The sequence below is a fragment of the Homo sapiens genome, chromosome 5 (genome assembly GCF_000001405.40).
Source record: "Homo sapiens chromosome 5, GRCh38.p14 Primary Assembly".
Lineage (NCBI taxonomy): Eukaryota > Metazoa > Chordata > Mammalia > Primates > Hominidae > Homo > Homo sapiens.
Genome location: NC_000005.10, coordinates 82,097,833 through 82,115,468, shown reverse-complemented (window position 1 = coordinate 82,115,468; position 17,636 = coordinate 82,097,833). Strand labels below are relative to the sequence as shown.

At 34.6% G+C, this 17,636-nt stretch overlaps 1 protein-coding gene across 14 annotated transcripts in view; it reads right to left on the bottom strand.

Annotated features, from left to right (window-relative positions):
- The window catches only part of ATG10 (autophagy related 10), a 284,111-nt gene that overhangs the window by 140,665 nt on the left and 125,810 nt on the right, over positions 1-17,636 (bottom strand). The window contains exon 1 of one of the 14 annotated variants that reach the window (XM_011543661.3): positions 4,014-4,606. The exons of the other annotated variants lie outside the window; for them this stretch is intronic. Within the exon in view, the coding sequence (XP_011541963.1) occupies positions 4,014-4,019 (6 nt within the window). The 5' untranslated portion in view covers positions 4,020-4,606. Of the gene's footprint in view, positions 1-4,013; positions 4,607-17,636 lie in introns of those variants that run through there. 14 annotated transcript variants of the gene reach the window in all.

The following is a 17,636-nucleotide window of genomic DNA, read 5'->3' as shown; positions in this document are numbered from 1 at the left end:
CAAAAGTATAAAAGCAGTAAAACGAATCCCATGTGTCCATCAGCCAACTCAAAAACTGTGAACATTGGCCAATTCTATCTCATCTACTCTCCAGCCAATACTTTTTTCCTAAAGCAAACCCTAGGTATCATGTAACTTCATCTGAAAACATCACTGTTGTACTTTAATAATATAAATCTATTGATATCACACCTAACAAAATTAACACTCATTCCATAAAATCACTTACTACCCAATCATTTTCAATTTTCTAAGATTGCCTCAAAAACGCCTTTTAAACTTTTCATCGTTGATTTCTTCCAAACAGGATCCAGATAAAATCTATGCATTCTATGACATTTTTATCACATAAAAAGAAAGTTAGTTAATTCTGTGGTTTACTCCATTCAATACAAACCTCTAAAACTGTGCTTTTCAATATAATAGCCACTAGTCACACATGACTATTTAAACTGAAATTTACATTAATTAAAACTGAATAACATTAAATATTCAGTTTCTCAGTCATACTAGCCACATTTCAAGTGCTTAATATCTACATGGGCTAGTAGCGATCATATTGTACTGTAAAAATACTGAGTATTTCTCTCACCAGTAAAGAAGTCATATAGTACATATTTTACATAACTGCAGGAAATTCTATTGGCTAATGCTGTCTTAGATCCCACAGAGATTTACCTATGTATCAGTCAGACTGCCGCCCACTTCATAGAACTTAGAAAACAAGTCTCACTGTAAACCGAAGATGCCGAATCACTGGGGACTCTCAAGAGTCATCTAAGACCAACTAGCCCATTCCTGGTCCTTAGACTTGGTTCCTCAAGAAGGGAGACCAACAGCCCAGAACCTACAGGTGGGCTATCCTTCCAAAGTTCATTTGTAACTCATTTTAATCTTGAAATAATTTTATTTAGGTTCCCAAGCTACCCTTAAAGCCTCAATTGACTCAAAATATAGCTGTAATTTTATACAATGAACACTAGGAAAAATTATTATTGCTATTGTGGGCAGGGCAGGAAACCAAATAATTGGTTTAGTACGCATAGTATAATTTCTATGTGCATAAAAGTGTTCCTCACAGTAGAGAAGATGAGAAGACAGTGTCATTGGAAACATGTCTCATTTCTCTCTCCCCTTTCTCCACTTCTACCATGGCAGAGAGTAAGTAACAAGGAAGAAAGAACAGAATGTGGGAGGACACTTCTTGTGCTTCAGGACAGCCCTCCCCAGTCTGAGGTAAAACAGCCAATCATACATATAAGATATTTGTAAGTAAGTCATTATAAATAAGAACCACAGTCCAACAAAGGCAATTCCTTATAATTTATTTAAGCTAAGCAACATAAAGCCTTTGCCTGATTACTCCCTCTTACATCACAGTCGCACAAGGAAGGAAAATTTATATAATGTAGGGTTGATGCAGGTCTTTCAAATCTCAACAAAGAAAAAAATCATAGACTAAATGATTACTAGATTTGACTATAATTATTTTTTAAATTATGTATGCCAAAAAACACTGCAAACAAAATCAAAGTACAAAAACTAGGCAAAATATTTGTAACATACAAAACAAAGTGCTCACATCCTTAATAAATAAAAAATCTCATAAACCAGTAAGAAGTGAGTACCTTAAGGGAAAAATGAACAAAAAACAAGGATAAGTAATTTATGAAAGAAAAAATGGACACAGCTAAGTAGACAGGAACATTTTCTAGCTTCACTGATAATCAAACAAATACAAGTCAAAACAAAGAGATAATTTTTTCTTATCAAACAAGCAAAAAAACCAATTAATTTTAAGTAGTAATTTCTAGCACTCATTCTTAGAGGAAGGCCTGCTAGAGGGAGTAGGGCTATTGGCATCTCTAATGTAGAACTAGCATCTTTCCAGCTCCCAAGCGAGAATAAGTACAATACACTTGAAATAAGTCTTCATCCCACTGAAAATGTGAACTGCATCACATAAATATAAAATATCATTCCCAATAGTTATGGCAGATAATTTTATTAACAGGATGAACATGAAAAACTGAAAAATTTGACTTTTTATATAATAATACTTTATCTCTATTATAGTTTACATTAAGCTATTTTAAAGCCTTTTTAGTTTGCTAGTCTGCAATCTTCTCTGCATTGCTTCTTAGCATTGACTCATTAAGTATTCTTCATCTGATTCAAGGCAAAATATGCTTCTGATCAAATATGCACTCACATGCTCTTTGGCAAGCTACAAACCAAATTAGAAAAATCATAAATCTGGTGCTAAACGTTCTGGAGGAATAGTATATGCTATACCTTCTTTATCAAAAAAGCACACATATGGATTGCAATATGTCAACAAACGGCGTCTGTGACTTTTCTCACTCCTAATTTAAAAATCACAGAAAGATCAATAAAATAAGCTATACTACTATATTTGGATTAATAACTAACAAACCTAGCTTCTTACTTCTCAAATGGAAATCATTCAAAAATACTTTTAAAGACACTCAAAATGTGTACTTGAAATGTACATTTTAATAACTATATCTGCATAAAAGTTAAAAATAAATACATCTGATATCCCAAGGCTGATACCAATTTTAATATCACTAACCACTTGCACAATATGGTTCTCCAAACAAAGTTTGCTGTTATGAAGCCAATAAAATCATTCTATCACTTTAAATATGTACCTTGATTTAAGAAAATCTTCAGTTTCCCTACTTAAATCAACATAACAAAATGGATCAATTATCACAAACCTTTAAACATATATGTAAAATGCATGTTTATGCCATGGTTTTGTCATTTTATTCTACAATCGATTATTCTGAAGGTTCTTAATAATCACAGCACTAATGTCCAATAAATCATGCATATAATAAACAAAATTCTTTTTGTAATTCATAGGAATCAGGGTCTTAAAGTACAATACTGTATATCATCATTTAGTAAAATTAACAAATAGAATTTTGAAAATGAGATTTAGGTATTTATGAGATATACAAAATAATAAATTTTTCTATGCAAATAATAAAATGCATTAATCAGAATTCTCAACAGAAGACTAAATTACCCCCCAAAATCTGAAAAAAGTCCTATCACAATTACAGTACCTATACAAAAGATTCAAAGCCCCCTCAAATATATTTTAAAAATGGTTAACAAACATTATCTTTTTAAAAATTCAAATTATTGTTATTCATTAAATTTGTATTTCAGGATCACCACCTGCAAAGTTCTGGGCTATGCATGATAAAGAGGAGAAAGATGCAGTGGACATCTTTCTGAGACTTATAAAGGAAGAAATGATCTAACAGCAAGGATAATACATACACATCCCCAAACCACAGAATTTCAAAGCTTGAAGAGATGCTCATGTTTATTTAACCCAACATATGTAACTACTTATTATAAAACCTGTGTTCAAAACAGAAAAAAAATTTCTTTCTGATTTATCAAAAGTATATTAAATGAGTAGGAGTTTTCTCTTCTTTTGAATTTTTCCACTTGTGAATTGTCCCTGTATGCCCTTTAACCACTTTTCTTTTGTAGTGTTAGTTTCACCATGAACAAAACAGATATATGAACACAAATATCCATCATCTATCACGCTGTAAATATTTTACCTATTGTAATTTGTCCTTTCACATTAATAGTTAGTTTTTTTGTAATGTCTTCTGGTTTTTCTTTTTGATGCAGAAAAACTTACAGATCATCCCTTCATAGTTTCTATTTGAGGCCATTTGTAGAAAGATTTGAGGATCACCAGTGTTTTCATCTACTAGTTCTACAGCTTCACTTTAAAAATGTAATTATTCAGTCTATTTAGGATTTTATTCTGGGGCACACTATGAAATAAGGCTTCAATTTAATTCATTTTCTTATGTTTACAACATTAAAATTGAATGGAGACACCAAAAAAGAAAAATTTTTTTAAGGAAAGAAAATCGAAAATCACATACAAAACTGAGAACCATCAGTCCAGCCTCACAAGCCACTGCAACTTTCATGACCAGAGAATAACTGACCAGCATCTGCAGAGTTCTGAAGATAAGAAACCACAGCTAGAGAGCAGTCTGCATAAGCAAGATGTCTGTATACCACATAACAGAAGACATCCGTAACACAAAATGGTCACCCAGGAGACCTGCCTGGAGGATTCTACTTGATGGAATCTAGACAGTTAAAATATGAGTCACAGTTAAAATTCTGGGTTAGAAAAGTCAAGGTAAAAAAATTATGGTGAGGACTAATCCAGTTAAATATAGAATTAGAATTAAAACAACTATAGGACTTATTACAAAATTAAGTCCATGTAAATGTTATAAAGTTTGATAAAATAAAAATACCATTGTAACAAACAGAAATAGGAAAGGGAGGAAGGTGGAGTATACGTAAGCATCTTTCAAAACAGATCAATGTATATGGTCTAAACAGAAACATGTATCCTAAAACCATAACTCTAAACTTGTTAATTTTTATCATAATCTCTTTTCTTAACTTCAGACAGATCTTCTACCATATCTACTATTGTGTGTAGTAAAGAAGCACTTATTTCAAAGTTCTACAATTTGATTAGGTACCTTTAGTTTCTTTTCCTTTTTATAAATGTAGGTAAAAGGATTTTAATATTTTTTATTTAAAATAACAGGCATACAAAATTGACAAATGGGATCTAATTAAACTAAAGAGCTTCTGCACAGCAAAAGAAACTACCATCAGAGTGAACAGGCAACCTACAAAATGGGAGAAAATTTTTGCAATCAACTCATCTGACAAAGGGCTAATATCCAGAATCTACAATGAACTCAAACAAATTTACAAGAAAAAAACAAACAACCCCATCAAAAAGTGGGCAAAGGATATGAACAGACATTTCTCAAAAGAAGACATTTATGCAGCCAACAGACACATGAAAAAATGCTCATCATCACTGGTCATCAGAGAAATGCAAATCAAAACCACAATGAGATACCATCTCACACCAGTTAGAATGGCGATCATTAAAAAGTCAGGAAACAACAGGTGCTGGAGAGGATGTGGAGAAATAGGAATGCTTTTACACTGGTGGTGGGACTGTAAACTAGTTCAACCATTGTGGAAGACAGTGTGGCAATGCCTCAGGGATCTAGAACTAGAAATACCATTTGACCCAGCCATCCCATTACTGGGTATATACCCAAAGGAATATAAATCATGCTGCTATAAAGACACATGCACACCTATGTTTATTGTGGCACTACTCACAATAGCAAAGACTTGGAACCAACCCAAATGTCCAACAATGATAGACTGGATTAAGAAAATGTGGCACATATACACCATGGAATACTATGCAGCCATAAAAAAGGATGAGTTCATGTCCTTTGTAGGGACATGGATGAAGCTGGAAACCATCATTCTCAGCAAACTGTCACAAGGACAAAAAACCAAACACCGCATGTTCTCACGCATAGGTGGGAATTGAACAATGAGAACATTTGGACACAGGAAGGGGAACATCACACACCAGGGCCCATTGTGGGGTGGGGGGATGGGGGATAGCATTAGGAGATATACCTAATGTAAATGACGAGTTAATGGGTGCAGCACACCAACATGGCACATGTATACATATGTAACAAACCTGCACATTGTGCACATGTACCCTAGAACTTAAAAGTATAATAAAAATATATATATATATTAAAAAATAAAATAACAGGCATAGTATGATCAGCAGATCAATGGGGGGAAAGAAGGAAGGGAAGGAGCGAAGAATTAGAAAGGGAAGAAAATTCTATTTCTGGTTATCTAATGTATTGTGGTTATTTGAGGGGTAACTTTTTAATCCCTCTTTTGCATTTGAATTTTTTATAGTGAACATATATCATTATAAAAAATAGTGATTTTTTTCTCTCATAAAAAATCAAATAAAAAGTAATAAAGACAAGAAATCAGGCTTACAAGAGCATTATACAGCTTTTGGAAACTAAAAAATAAGTTTGATCCACAAACAACTCTCTTGGATATCAAAGTTAAGAGTTCACAGATTTCAGCCCAAGGTGTGAGTTCTCTGGGATCTTTTAACTTCTCATAAACTGAGTCATGAGGCGGAAGTCTACTTTGTATTTTAGTGCCCAACTAAAGCTCTGTGCATATTTAGGAAGTCTGGTCTCCTGAGTGAACAAATCTAATGACCTCTCCTCAGTTCCCATACTGTCCCCTACAACAGTTGATTCTGCGATGGCACCCTCTTTTATACTCTGGGCAAAGGCCTTGCACACAGCAAGAATGCAAATATTTGCTGATTGAGGAACAAGGCATTCCCCTGACCACTCTCATCTCTGTCAGAGTTTGTGCAGGCTCCTTCTGTCTCTTATTTCTTACCTTAGCCTCCTATATGTAGTCTTCCACCAAGGTTAGGCTCTCATTTCATTTCTCTTCTTAGTCTATACACTTTCTCTGAAATATATCATCGATTCTCAAGTTGTAGCTCTGACTTTTCTTCGGCTCCAAATCCAAAATTTAAAGTATGTGCTACATATTTCTATAAGATTGCCTTCAGGATCTCAAATCTGACATGCCAAAATGGAATTATCTTCCCCCCTATGCCTGTTTCCCATCCCACTCCCCTAGCTGTTCCTTCCCTTACATCTATGGAGGCAATGGCAACACCATTCCTGCTTCCTGGTCACATAGTCACATAGACTGAAAATTTGAGAGCTATCTTCAACTCCTTTTTCTGCCTTGTGTTTAAATATTTTATACCTTTGTAATGTCTCTGATGCACATTCCATCCTTCCTATCAACACTGACATCATATAATGCAAAAACAGCATAACATGATAAAAAGAATATCAGGCTTAGACTCAAACAACCTAGAATTTGAGTACCACCTCAGCTCTGACTATGCTATGAGACCTCATATACATATTACTTGACATTTTCAATATATATCTTCAAATCATAGGATTATCTTGAGGGATATATACACACACATATACATGAGATATATACACATGTTATACATACATATATACACATATATACATATATGATATGTACATAAATATTATATAAGAGCAGTATTATTGCATATACTGTGTGTATATATATGCACATATATATAGGTGTCTAGGGTTCTCTGTAGATACACAAATATGTATGCATGTGTATATATATGTATACTCGCAAATACAAATGAAAGGTATTACTACAACCATTACTCTTATTATTATCCACGATGATATAATGTCTGACCTTACCTAGTATAAAAATGTCTAATCTTTAATCTCTCAGTTCTCCAGGCAAGCTTTCACACTGAAACAAGTATTATTTAATCAAAACATTATTTGTTTCCTCGAAATGGTGTGCAGTTTGCTCTCCTCTGACAACAGAATAAACTCAAAAGCACTTAGCACGGATTTCAAGGTGCTCCATTATCTAACTCTACCTTAGCATTCTGACCTCACCTCCCAGTACATAACCCCTCTATCAACCAGGTTCTATCTAGCCTCAGGCCTAGAATTGTCTTGCTCTAAGTATACCCTGCATTCATGCTGCTCCATTCAGTCTAGAATTTCCATTTTTGGAAACCTCTTATTCAAAGTCCAATTCAAATGTCACCTTCTCCATAATATCCCTATTTGTTTTTTATTAAGAATTAGCCCATATTCTACCTTTATTATCCTTCTGCATTGTAAACAGAGGATATTTACATTTCTTTCTCTCCAACTAAATTATAAATTATTGAAGAATAGAGACTGTGGAGTATTCACCTTTGACTCTCCATCACGCATCAAGTCTTATAAACAGTAAGCATTTACTGAATGTTTATAGAATTAAATTGCATAATAAAGCCCCTCAAGTCTTTTAATTTCAGAGAAGTTAAAACTATACAGTAAAAATGTAAAATCAACAAATTATTCATTGTAGACATTTTTTAATGCAAGTGAAAGAAAATATTTTTAAAATACATTGTAAGCTTTAAGGTAAACAAAAATATTGTTTGGTGCTCCCTCTGCTGGCTTTGCAGAAGCAACTTAAGAATGTTGAACAATAACACCACAAAGAAGTAAACATCAATTCAGCTTAGCTGCTCCCTTTATCTCCTGCAAACACCCAGAGTAGAAACTTTCCACTGAGTTCTTTTGGAAATAATCCTACATGTAAAAAGGTTTGTCTATGAAATTTGTTTACAGGGACAAAACTGATCTTAAAATTTTGCTGATAATAATCCTGTCAGAATTCTTGTTTATACCTTTGTTTTCTAACTAAACCACCGACTTTATGTATAAACAGTTTTAATTTTTAGCTGAAACTGTTGAGAAGCAAAGTAGAATAAGATCTTTTTGCTTTCTATTTAATCTATATATATATTTTTAAAATTGATTAGGAACATAAGAGGTTAAATTCTTCTTGTGTTCCTAAACAGAGTTATTCTGAGTACCCTGAAGGCATTTAATTCCAAAACAGGAAGCCAGAGAGAGGAACACTTGGTTACACTAATGTTATGCAGATCTTTTGGAACATATTTTCCTAAACACTTGCTGAAAGAACCTTTTCTATACTGCATGCTATCACATGAAGTTGGAGAAGGGTCCCACGGATACCACAGTACACTGACTGCTCAAATTGCCCCTTATTACTTCTCTATTTTTCTCCACTTATCTTACTTTAAAATGGCCATCTGCTTGCTCATAGAAGGGGGTAGGAAAATCAGGTGGGGGTCAGGGAATGTTTATTCATACACTATAGTTTAATTGTTTTGCATAAATGTGTATAAGAGCTATGATATAGCTTATGATAGTCCATTGTTAAGAAAATGATACCATAGTAAGATTAACCTGAGACCAGCAGAGGCTGTTAAAGATTGGTGTCCTTTCTAATAAATTCTTGTTTTATATGCTTTTAGCTCTACTATAAAACCTCTGTAATCTAAAACATGTTAAATGAGATCTCACCCTGGTAAATGAAACAAAGAACAATGGTAAACCACAGGCAAGTGGAAAAGGCAGTGGATTCATGCAGTTCAGAGGTGTGCATGCTGGAGCTACCTCTGTTACTGAGCAAATCACATAACACTGTAGGGCTCTATTGCCCAACCTCTCAAATACGGCTTCATACCACTAGAGATGAGCAAGCTGCTATGATCCCGTGACTAAACAAGTGAACTAGAAAGGTCCACTTTAAGTTACTGAGGTAAAAGATGGTAAAATAACACCAAGGTGGGTATATTTTTCATACGCTGTTTGATCTTATACACCATTTCAATGCCATTTTTAAAAATAGCTCTTTTTCTTACTTTCTTAGTTAAATGCAGTTATGTTTTAAAGAAAGTAAATGATTACTGAGCAATTACCCTCTATGCTGGAAATTAAGGTTTCATGCACATTCTTGATTATCCATAAAAATGAAGTCTTGTAATATTAAATGCAACAGTTTAGTCAGAAGAAGCCAAATAGGAAAAATAGTCAATATATTTGATTTGATTATAGTTACTTTCAAACAATGTATAACAAAATTAATTCTATTCTTAATTTTTAGACACTAAAAATTGTTATTGAAATCAGGTATTTGAAAGTCAAAATTGTATTTTTAGTCCATTCTGCATAGCTTGGAAATCATTTTTTCCTTAAGAAATCTCCATGTGAACAAGAACAAGGGTTTAGCCACTGCAGTAAGCTACTATTGGCATTCTTGTGCCGAGATTCTTGACTGTTAGCCTCTGCAACTGACAAAATCAAAGCCTGGCTGGTGACTGGGTGCCACTCTGTTAGGTGGGTGCCATAGGACAATGGCAGCCAGGCACAAAGGAGTGGGGAGAAAAGAGTCAGAGTACAGAAGGGTATTCCCAGACTCCCTCTGACTCATTCAGTAAATGGCAACCTCTAAAATGCTGAGCTTCTGTTTTTGAGCAGAGCTGTCAAATCATTAGATTTGTTTTTGGAATTTCAATTCATGAATATGTCCTCTAATGTTCAGAGGGCATTCTCACTGAAATATACAGTTACATATATGACTGCAGCAAAGAAATTCTTACATCCCAAAAGATTTAACAGCAATTCTTCATCAAACAATGATTCATTCCACTTTAAATTATCAAATGCTCTATTCCAAATGATACAACAAGGTTTCAGAGCTGTAAATTAGCTGGCAGACAATATCTAAAAAGACATTTTGAAGTGTGGAAAAAAATATTCAGAAAATGTGATTCATTTTCATTTAACATAATATAAACCCAATGATGAATGAACACAGGAAATTTACGATGTGGTTTATTGCAAAAAGGAAACAGTAGTATCCAATAAAATCTATGCTTTTTGCATTCCTTACAGTAATCAATTTACCCTATTAACCAATACCAGTACAGCAAATTACTGAACAAGTTCTGTAGAGAAGAAAGCCATTAACCAGGCTCCCGCTTTGTTGACGTCATTATGTGCAAGTGTGTGGTAACATCAAACACTGACATTGTTAGGTGTTCGCCACAATAACTCAGTGATTTCTAGATGGATGCAGCATAAACTGATCACAAAACCAATTCAACTATGTTACATTTATTTCAAAACACCTATAACATCAACAAATACTAGACACTTTGAAACAAAAATACATTTAAATGAATATAACTTTATATTCTAGATGTTTTTCCCCTGGAAAATAATAACAAAAGACCTTGTATATGACAATTCAATATAATCTCATATATAGGTTTAACAATAAAGCTTAAGTTGTCTCCCCCTTAAATCAGTAGGTCTCTAAAGGTATTATTTATCAGATCCTTGCTGGACAGATAATTTAATTAAATAATGGTGTTTAAGAAAAAACTATTGAGTTTTAAATTATTGTAACTCTCTGCTCTTTCTCTTGCCTTCAGCTAATCCCAATATGACAACCAAAACCAGTACAGAATCTGGTCAGTTAACATTACTACTTAATTTACCTATAAAATCGGATGTTAAATCAGTTGTTTGAATAGTGTTCAGAAAAACAAATTAGTTGTATCAATTTTTTATATTAATAACTTATAATTGCACAAAATTTCATCTAAAACTGAAAAAAAAAAGTATTTTAGCATGACCTAAAAACTGACAGTTAATTTTCAAGAGAGAAGATGAGAAAATTCCAGTATGGAGTTCACCTACTTCATTCACCCTATGGAAAGATAACAAACTCTTTCAGAACTATTTGGCAAGTGGGAACATAAATTATTACAATTACCTTAGAAAACGGTTGGGCAGAATCTATTAAAGGTAGACATATGCATACACAAGGACCCATTAATTCCACTCTCAGGTATAACACAAGAGAAATATGTACAGATGTTCGCCAAAAAAGATATATAAGAATGTTCATACCAGTACTTTTCATAATAGCCAAAAAATGGAAGGAACATAAACATCTATCATTTTGTAGAATGTATAAACAAAACATGGTATATTTGAACAGTGGAACTAGATACAACAAGCAGAATGAGCAAATAACTACATGCAACTCTGATGAATTTTACAAACAAAAGAAGACAGACATGAAAGAATATGTATGATATATTTATCTAAGGTTAAGAAGAAAGAGGAAAAATAAATTGTAGTGTAACAAGTCAATCTGTAGTGACTGTTGGGGGCAGGTAGTAACTGAAAATGTCAAGAGAGAGTCCTGAGTGCTGGTAAAGTCCTGTTTCTTCATCTGGGAATTGGTTGCACGAGTGGGATCACTTTGTGAACACCCACCAAGCTTTTTAAAACACTTGTAGGCAGAAGCTGTGGAGAACCACTGAAGCCCACCCAAGGCATACATTCATAACTGAGTATGGGTTTCTAAAGGAAACCCACCCAAGGCATACATTCATAACTGAGTATGGGTTTCTAAAGGAAACCCACCCAAGGCATACATTCATAACTGAGTATGGGTTTCTTAAGTCCCTGGGGGCAGGGGAAACAGGACAAGTGGGAAGCAGCAGGCAGGAGGTAAGACAAGAAATAGACCTGTTAACAAGCCCCAGGTAAGTGGTAGAAAAAGAGATAGAGGGGCACACAGGTTTATGTAAGAGTGAATCCCAAAACTGCAAGCACAGCAAGGAGATGCTAAACTTAGATGTCCATGGAATAAAGGGCTAGGACTTTTGGCTTAATGGGGTCCCTGCTATGTTAGGACTTCATTTTAGAATACAAAAGAAATCAACAATTTTTGATCAATGTGTATCAGATACTGTCATAAAAGCTTTACAAATAAATTATTTTACATTTTACTAGACCAAGAACACAGAAAAAGATCAAAACATATTTATTAAATTTAATTTGTCATAACCCTTACATAATAGGTATTATTGTCCCTGTCTACAAACAAACAACCTGAGCTCCAGATGAGTTATTTGTGCAAAGTTTTAGAAATAAAAAGTGGTAGAAGAAAGTTGGCCCTTTTTTTCCTTAGGGATGAGTTGGGAAGATGGAAGGAAAAAGACAAATAATCAAGTCCCCTTTTTTTAAACTAATCTCCACCCTAAAAAAAATAAATTGTCATCTTTAGAAAACATAACTCAATTCAGTTCAACACAGTGCATATTATATTAGTTAACCATTTCATCTGAGGATCAAGTTAGGATTCCTCAAACTACAAGCATTAAAATTGGGTGAAAATGAGGCTTGGATGCCAATGAAGAGGAGGATTAACCAGCTAGGATCCAACAGTGGTTTACACAAAGCACAGCTGAACTGTAAATGGTTGAATAAGTATTAGAAAGTTAGGGTATCAGCTAAAAACACTGTGAGAAGGATGGTCAAAAGCATGCCTTGAAAATATATATAGTCCAATTTATGTGTGGCTGGTCTTTTTATGTATTGGAAGAGTTATTTAAGTCTTTAAAAGAGCCCAACTCAACAGTGTTTGCCATTGTGTTCTTACTGATACTTGGTTTACCTGTTTGGAATCTTGAAAATGATGTTTCTTTTATCTATGGCATTTTTCTAATTTGGCAAACAATAGATTTTCTCCTTCTGTTTCTATTGGAGTAGACATTCAATAACTATTGTGTTTACTTAATATTATCTGTGTCAGTAAGAATGAGCACAGACCTAGATGTATGTACTGGAGTACTTTCAGTCTACTTACTACAGACTCATGAGGCAGGGAAGGACACAATAGCCTAAAATTTAAAAAGTCATAACTCTAATATGTCTAGATCTCTTAATTAGAGGACTGTGAATACAAATCCAAAATACATACCACACCAACATCTTACTATTTTCTGAAGAAACATATATAATTGAAACACCTCAGGAAAATAAAAATCTACCACAAAGTAAGACTGAGGCTATACATTTCATGTGCCACAAATCTTAAAATGTATCTATGTCACAGCTATACTGAGTGAAATTTGAGTCAACTGATCAAATCTTTCCTGTAACAAATTATTCTATAATAAAAGTCATAAGGCACAGAACTTTATGTATCAGAAAGACTGCTAAGTGTGTGAAGTCAGTATGTGTCCACAGAATCTTATTTCAACAGTGCCTTCCATTAAAAGAATATGCTGGCATCTGCACAATATGAAAACAAGACTTGTGTACTAAGTGTTCACTTTACGGAACATTTGTCATTATTGATTGTAGTAAACAGAAATCTTATTTTATCGAAACCTCTTATAAGAATAGTTAATCAAACTAAAACTCAGCATGGCTTCTGCATAGGTATATTGAAATAGTCTTGGCACATAGTATTGGAAAAAACTACATATCAGGTCTCTTCCTAAAACTTCCCTGATAAGCAATTTACCAGCTGCTTTTGAATGTTCAACAACAGTGACATCAGTACCTCTAAAAAAGCACATTGAATTTGGGGCAGATGAAACTATTAGGAAATTCTTCTCTATATTTAGTAAAATGTAACTCTTTTTAACTTCTACCTACTGATCCATTCTGCCTTCTGAGTTTAGACATGCTATACCAAGCTATTTGCCTCTCAATATCCATTGTCCTCCTTCTTCCCTAATAATAGAATCCTGGGCAATACACCTAGCTAGAAAACTACATTTCCAGCCTTCATAGCAGCCAGGTATGGCCACAAGACCAAGTTGTGGCCAAAAAAGATGAGTAGAAAGGGAATTCTGGAAAGCCTTCTTTAAAAAGAGAAGGCGTGCCCTTCCTCCACACCAAACCCACCCTTCTGCCTGCTGTCTGGAAAAAGGATGTGATTGCAAGAGTCTGAGCAACTTACCACAAGGTGATCTTGAGGATGGAAATAATCATACATGAAGGATATCAGAGTCGGAGTACTCAGTGACTTTATGGAGCTGCTTTACTATCTCCAGACTCTGTTTATATAAGAGAACAACCCTTATGTGTATATTCTTGTTATCCACAACTTAATTAGGAACTTAATTCCTAACTCACATACTGAGACTATGGATAAGTTTTTAATATTTGAAAAGCAACAACACATTTTACCTATAACCTCTCTACTTTAAAAATAACATTTTCAGCTTCCTCACCATCTGAGTCATCCTCTTCTATACAGGTTGAAGCTACTCAGAATCCTTCTTAAATGTTTCAGAATACAGCTCAATGCAATCCACCAGATGTAATCTGACCAGTTCAAAGAACAGGGGAATTATTAACTTCCTTTTTTACCCCATACCAAGACAGCCTTATGCATTAGCCTCTTCAACAGTCCTCTAGACTGAAGACTCATGCTGTGGTTACAGGCAGCCAAAAAAAAAAAAAAAAAAAAAACTAGTTCTTGTTTTGTTTTGTGTATTGGAAGTGCTGTTACACCAGACTTTCCCTGCCTTGTATATTTCAGTCTTTTTTCTCTTTAACATAAGTATAGAACTTTAGGTGATGATCAAGGCAAAAGACAGAGCCCTTCTTTTGCCCAGATCTACACTGAAGATCTCTCTCCTAGTGGGCAAGAAGCAAATGATGAATGCTCTGGGGATGCTAGTTCAACCACCTCTGAATTCCCAAAGATCTTTTTCTCTTTCTAAGAATTCAGGGGCCAACTACTGGGCCATGGGAAGCCCAGCAGGTGGAGCTCAGGAAGCCACCTTCCCCAACTACTACCACCTAGAGAGAGACTGGCAGTATGAGCTGACACAGTGAAGATGGGTACGTATGCAGGGAAAACGTGGGGATGGGGAGGCAGTCAAAACACCACCACCCATTTATATAACAAATACTTAGAAAAAAGAAATCACTGGGCCAGGTGCGGTGGCTCACGCCTATAATCCCAGCACTTTGGGAGGCCGAGGCAGGTGGATCACCTGAGATCACGAGTTCGAGACCAGCCTGGCCAACATGGTGAAACCCTCCCTACTAAAAATACAAAAATTAGCTGGGTGTGGTGGCAGGCACCTGTAATCCCAGCTACTCAGGAGTCTGAAGCAGGAGAATTGCTTGAACCCAAGAGGCAGAGGTTACAGTAAGCCGAGATCACACCACTGCACTCCAGCCTGGGCAACAGAGCGAGACTCCAGCTCAAAAAAAAAAAAAAAAAAAAAAAAAACACAGAAAAAGAAAGAAAGAAATCAGAAATCACTGTCTCTTTAAAAAGAAAAAAAAATCTATTAGTACATTGAGTGTAAGGTGGGAACTTGACTAGTGATTGATTGACAAAGCAGTGTAAATTCCATAACCACCCCATTTGCATAGATATTGATTGCAGTAGGTTCAGAAGACTGATTATGCTGCTTTTCAGATTTGAAATGAATGTCTTTTAGCTTAGGCCTTCAGAAAAACCAAGACTGCAAATGTTAAAGACCTTAAATATGCACATGTAAAAACATATTTATGATTAATGATAATTCATTAAGTGTAATACTATGCTAAATTAATATACAGAGTAAGACTGACTTGTGCTGATGGGATTATCTTGTTTATGATTATTATTATTGACTTTAAAAGAGCTATGTAACTATTTTCTGAACAAAAGGTGCAGTCTAATATACACAATGCCAAACATTGGATATTACCTTCATTGTCACTATTCATTTCCTGTAGGTTCAGTCACTATAAGAGTTCTATGTGTCTATAAATGTAATTCTATTGATTAAAAAATAATATACAGAAATATTTAAATATACATATATTAATGTATTTATTTCTGATTAAAAGATAAAGTAAATATTTTCTCAATAATTATACCAATATCCCTTAAGTTACATCATAACTAAAATTATTCAATAATTAAATTATCATTCCTTTTAATTATTCAATATGTTTATCAATCTTTTATCCAATCGATGTACTTTTTAAAAATTTATCAGGCTACCATGAAATAGGGACAAACCACATCCATTCTTTCCTTTATAGAGGTAAAGTTTTTTCCAACTAAATATTATATTCAAGTTTGGCTGACAAATATCTAGTATCTTTTACAATGAATAATCTGAGAAAATATAAATCTAGGTGAGGTTGCAGTGTGAACCACTCTGATAGCTTTTTCTCTTCCTTTTGGTAGGAAAAGAAAGATTGGCAAATTAGTACAGTTTTGTCTAGCTTTTGGTTCATGGTTCATGTCAGTTCAAGTCCCTGGTTAAATCTAAATTAAATTCAAGATGTAATGCCATTTTATTGATCTTATAAAGTTCATATTTCTATTTTACTTCAATGCTGCCAACAAGTCTAAATGTTGTGGGTGAGTTGGACAAAGACCCATGTAATTGGGTCAGGCTGACTTGTTGTGGATCACTTAAAGAACTATCTATTCAGCAGCACTTGTGAACTCACATTGTTCCAGCAGCTATGACTGTTTCTCCAAATCTTAGTCAATTCTGAATGACCTGAAAATTCTTTACCAGTCCCATTTAGCTAATGGTTTTGTCTTCCAAGTCAAATCAAGTATGGAAGTCTATAAACGATAACCCCTTTGTTTGCAGTGGTAGTTAAAACCAACATGGCCAGGCACAGTGGCTCACGCCTGTAATCCCAGCACTTTGGGAGGCCCGAGGCGGGTGAATCACGAGGTCAGGAGTTCAAGACCAGCCTGGCCAAGATGGTGAAACCGCATCTCTACTAAAAAAACAAAAATTAGCAGGGCGTGGTGGTGGGCGCCTGCAATCCCAGCTACTCGGGAGGCTGAGGCAGAGAACTGCTTGAACCCAGGAGGCGGAGGTTGCAGTGAGCTGAGATAGCACCACTGTACCCCAGCCTGAGTGACAGAGCGAGACTCAGTCTCAAAAAAAAAAAAAAAAAAAAACCCAACAACAATATTAACAATAAAATGTTTAAAGCTAAGTTCAATTAAATAATTAAGTTCACTATTGCCATATAGTCTATCTCTTTAGGTATTAAAATAATAAACTTAAGGAAAGACTTAAATGTTTCATTCCTATGTATCAAAATTGATTAATTAATCTAAATTAAAAGTACCTAACACCTTTACCTGGCTTTAGCTTTTGAGAGCCTTGGCTGAAAAATGACTGTCTTGGGCACTGTTGAATGAGATGGTCAAGCGGCCACTGTTGAATGAGATGGTTAAGACTGCAGCAGAATACAGACTCAACGTCACAGGGGGAAACAAGATTTCCTTAGGAGTTACAGTCTATCCTTTTTTTAAAATGTCATGTTTATTGCTCGTTTTTTGTTGTTGTTAAAATAGTTTTAAGATGTCCATTCTCTTCCTTCTAGTTTTCAAGCTCCATATTCCAGATCCCTCTGAAGCACACACCATAG